This window comes from Homo sapiens, chromosome 11 (assembly GCF_000001405.40).
Source record: "Homo sapiens chromosome 11, GRCh38.p14 Primary Assembly".
In the NCBI taxonomy this organism is placed as follows: Eukaryota; Metazoa; Chordata; class Mammalia; order Primates; family Hominidae; genus Homo; species Homo sapiens.
In genome coordinates this window covers 88,223,619-88,228,850 of record NC_000011.10, presented here as the reverse complement: position 1 = coordinate 88,228,850, position 5,232 = coordinate 88,223,619, and the positions used below count along the sequence as shown (strand labels likewise).

The 5,232-nt window shown below is 36.2% G+C and overlaps 1 annotated feature.

The window, feature by feature from the left end:
* Nucleotides 4,561-4,761: a silencer, noted in NCBI's record as "fragment chr11:87957258-87957458 (GRCh37/hg19 assembly coordinates)". NCBI's record gives its function as "represses an EF-1alpha promoter that drives an FKBP-Casp9 reporter gene in an ReSE screen in HepG2 liver carcinoma cells and phorbol 12-myristate 13-acetate-treated (for megakaryocytic differentiation) K562 erythroleukemia cells {active_cell/tissue: HepG2 | K562(+PMA)}" and the evidence as "EXISTENCE:reporter gene assay evidence [ECO:0000049][PMID:32094911]".

The following is a 5,232-nucleotide window of genomic DNA, read 5'->3' as shown; positions in this document are numbered from 1 at the left end:
ATTCACCACCATGAAAACACATGGCAATATACAACTTACAGTTTGTATAAAACAATCACACAAAAGAGGAATAGAAAGATGTCAAAGATACCACAGAATTTCATTAAACCACAAAGACAAAAAGAAAAAAAAAGAATTGTTTAAAACAACTTGAAATCAATCAATAATAAGCCAGAAACAAAGCCTCACATATCAATATTAACCTTGAATGTAAATGAATAAAATGCTGCACTTAAAAGATAAAGATTGGCAGAATAGACAAAAAGCCCACAATCCAACTATATGGTACAAGAAATTCACCTTGCTGAATTAGACTGAAAGTAAAGGGATGAAAACTATATGGTACAAGAAATTCACCTTACTGAATTAGACGGAAAGTAAAGGGGTGAAAAAAGATATTCTACACAAACCAACCAAAAGTGAGTAGGAGTAGCTATGCTTATATCAGATAAAGCAGACTTTAAATCAAAAACAGTAAAGAAAGAAGATGAAGGAGGCCATTATGTAATGATAAAGGGATCAATTCAGCAAGAGGATATAACGATCCTAAGTATATATGCATACAACATTGGAGCACCTATATTTACCAAACAAATATTACTAGACCAAAAGAAAGAGACAGACAGCAATGCAATAACAGTAGAGAGTTTTAATATCCCACTAACAGCACTAGACAGATCATTGAGGTAGAAACTTAACAAAGAAACATTGGCCTTAAATTGGACTTCAGAACAAATTGACTTAATAGACATTTATAAAACATTCTACCTAATAAATAGAGAATATGCATTATTTTCACAATCGCATGGAATATTCTCTAAGATAGACCAAATATTAGGCCAAAAATAAGTATTAACAGATTGTAAAAAATCAAAATCATATCAAGTACTTACTCAGATTACACTGGAATAAAGTCAGAAATCAATGCCAACGCAGTCTGGTAAATATACACGTACATGGAAATTAAACGGCATGCCTGAATGATCACTGTGTCAATGAAGAGGTATAGTTGGAAATTTAAAAATTTTTTGAAGTAAATGAAAATGGAAACACAACATACCAAAACCTGTGGGATACAGCAAAAGCAGTGCTAAGAGGAAAGTTTATAGCATTAAAAGCCTACATCAAAAAAGTAGAAAGATCACAAGTTAATAACTTAAATTGCACCTCAAGAAACTAAAAAAAGAACAAACCAAACCCAAAGTTAGCAGAAAAAAGGAAATAACAAAGATCAGAGCAGAATGAAATGAAATTCAGATTTAAAGAATACAAAGAATCAATGAAATGAGCAGTTGAGTCTTTGAAAAGATAAAAAAGTTAATAAACTACTAGCTAAACTAACCAAGGAAAGAAGAGCCAAATAAATACAACCAGAAATGAAGAAGTAGACATTACAACTGATACCACAAAAATACAAAAGATCATCAGATACAATATGAACAACTATAGTCTCACAAACAACAAAACTTAGAGGAAATGGATAAATTCCTGGAAACACATAACTGCCTGATATTGAACTAGGAAGAAATAGAACTCCTGAATAGACCAGTAATGAGTGATGAGTTGAACATTTCCCAACCAAAATAAAGCCCAATACCAGATGGATTCACAGCCAAATTCTACCAGACATACAATGAATATCAGTCCTCCTGAAACTATTCCAAAAAATCAAGGAAAGTGAAATTCTCCCTCACCATTGTACAAGTCCAGTACCACAATGATACCCAAACCAGACAAGGACACAACAAGGAAACAATACTACAGACCAATATCCCTAGTGAACATAGATACAAAAACCCTCAATAAAATACTAGCAAGTAAAATCCAACAGCACATCAAACAGATAATACATCATGATCAGGTGAGATTTGTCCCAAGGATGCAAGGATGGTTCAACCATCCTTCAATGAATAAACAAACCATCCATTCAATCAATAAATGTGATGCATCACATAGAATTAAGGACAAAATACTTAGGATCATTTCAATGGAAATAGAAAAAAGTTTCAATATAATTCAGCATCCTTTCATGATAAAAATTCTCAGCAACTTAGGCATAAATGGAACATATCTCAACATAATAAAGGCTGTTTAGGACAGACCCATGGCCACATCATACTTGCAGGGAAAAGTTGAAAGCATTCCAAAAAGTGGAACAAGACAAGGTTGTCCACTTTCACCACTGTTATACAGTACAGTACTGGAAGTCCTTACTAGAGCAATAAAGAAAAGGAAAAAGATAAAAAGCATCCGGTTTGGAACAAAGTTAGTCAAATTATCTATTCTCATTGATTATATGATCTTACATGTAGAAAACCCTAAAGACTCAACCAAAAAACTCAAAAATTTGAGAAATAAATTTAGTAAAGTTTCAGGATATAAAATTAATGTACAGAAATTAGTAGCATTTCAATATAACAATAATGATCTAGCCAGGAGCCAAATCAAGAAGGTAACCTGTTCACAATAGCTACAAAAAAATACCTAAGAATATATTTAACCAAGGCAGTGAAAGGTTTGTATAAGGTGAACTACGAAACACTGATGAAAGTAATCTTGCATGACGCAAACAAATGGAAAAACATTCCATGCTCATGGACGGGAAGAGTGAATAGTGTTATAATGACCATACTGCCTGAAGCAACCTACAGATTCAATGCAGTTCCTATCAAATTACCAAGGTCATTTTTCACAGAATCAGTAAGAACAATACTAAAATTCATATGGAATTTTAAAAAAGCCTGAATAACCAAAGCAATCTTAAGCAAAAAGAACAAAACTTGAGGCAACACACTATCTGACTTCAAATTATACTACAAGGATATCGTAAGCAAAAAATCATGGTACTGGTATAAAAATAGACACAGAGACCAATGGAACCATATAGAGAATGCAGAAATAAAGCCACATGCCTACAGCAAATTGATCTTCAACAAACTCAACAAAAATATACACTGGGGAAAGGATACCCTATTCAATAAGTGATGCTGGGAAAATTAGAAGCCATGTGGAGAAAAATGAAACTGGACCCATATCTCTCACCATATACAAGAGTTAAGCCAAGATGGATTAAAGAGCTAAATGTATAACTTGAAGATATAAAATTCTAGAAGAAAACCTAGGAAAAACGCTTTTTGACATTTGCCTAGGAAAAGAATTTATGAGTAAGTCCTCAAAAGCAAACACAACAAAACAAAAATAAACAAATGGGATTTAATTAAACAAAAACCTTCTCCAAAGCAAAAAGAATCAACAGAGTAAACAGACAAATGGGAAGAAACTTCCAAACTATGCATCTGACAAAGGGCTAATATCTAGAATTTACGAGGATCTCAAACAAATCAACAAGAGATAAACAAAAAACTCTATTAAAAAGTAAGCAAAAGATGTGAACATTTTTTCAAAAGAAGACATATAAGCTGCCAAAAAACATATTGACAAATCCTTAGCATCACTAATCATCAGAGACCACAATGAGATACCATCTTATACTAGTCAGAATTGCTATCATTAAAAAGTCTAAAAACAAAAGATGTTGGCAACGATGTGGAGAAAAGGGAACACTTATACACTACTGGTGGGAATGCAAATTAGTGAAACATTTATGGAAAACAGAATGGAGATTTTTCAAATAACAGAAAATATAACTACCATTTGATCCGGCAATTTAACCTCTGGGTATATACCCAAAGAGAAATAAATCATTATATAAAAAAGATACCTGCACCTTGTTTATCACAGCACTATTTACAGTAGCAAAGATAAGGAATCAACTTAAGTAGCTATCAACAGAGGACTGGATAAAGAAAATGTGGTGTGTATATGTATATGTATATATATGAAATATAGTGATATATACATGTGACATAAATACATATGATATACACACACCATGGAATACTACTCAGCCATAAAAAAGAATGAAATCATGTTTTTAGCAACAACATGGGTGGAACTGGAGGTCATTATCCTTAGTGAAATAATTCAGAAAGTCAAATACCACATGTTCTCCCTTACAAGTGGGAGCCAAGCACTGGGTACACATGGCCATACAGAGTGGATAATAGACATTGGAGACTACCAAAGGTGGGAGAGTGGGATGGGGATGAGGATTTGAAAACTATCTGTTGGGGTGATGGGTACAGTAAAAGCAAACTTCACCACTATGCAATGTATTCATGTAAGATTCCTGCATTTCTGTCCCTTAAACCCTGTGACAGTTACATCTTCCGTATGAAATGTTAAATATACCATCCCTCAAAAAAAATGATCTCTTCTACTAATCAGATCATTGTAACTAAGCATTAATCTTTACTTAGAAACATGTTGAAATTCTGGTAAGATTTTCTAAACATTCTCTATATAAGTAACCCCACACCTCTACACTTTGGAACACTGATTTTCATTCTTAGGAATCTGTGCTTCCCATGTGGGACCATCTCAACCTTTCTGCTTGGAATAAACTCTCTTTAGAAACTAGAAAATAAGGGTAGAGCCAAGATGGCCAAATAGGAACAGCTCTAGTCTACAGCTCCCAGTGTGAGCAATGCAGAAGACGAATGATTTCTGCATTTACAACTGAGCTACCAGGTGCATCTCACTGGGGATTGTCAGACAGTGGGTGCAGGACAGTGGGTGCAGTGCACTGAGCCTGAGCTGAAGCAGGGTGAGGCATCACCTCACCCGGGAAGTAAAAGGGGTGAGGGAATTCCCTTTCCTAGCCAAGGAAAGGGGTGACAGACGGCACCTGGAATATCGGGTCACTCCCACCCTAATACTGCACTTTTCCGATGGTCTTAGCAAACGGAGATTATATCCTTAGCATCAGGAGATTATATCCTGTGCCTGGCTCAGAGGCTCTGACACCCACGGAGCCTCACTCATTGCTAGCACAGCAGTCTGAGATCAAACTGCAAGGCGGCAGCGAGGCTGGGAGAGGGGTGCCTGCCATTGCCCAGGCTTGAGTAGATAAACAAAGCGGCCAGGGCACTCCAACTGGGTGGAGCCCACCACAGCTCAAGGAGGCCTGCCTGCCTCTGTAGACTCCACCTCTGGGGGCAGGGCATAGCCAAACAAAAGGCAGCAGAAACTTCTGCAGACTTAAATGACCCTGTCTGACAGCTTTGAAGAGAGTAGTGGTTCTCCCAGCATGCACCTTGAGATCAGAGAACGGACAGACTCCTCAAGTGTGTCCCTGACCCCTGAGTAGCCTAACTGGGAGGCACTCCCCAG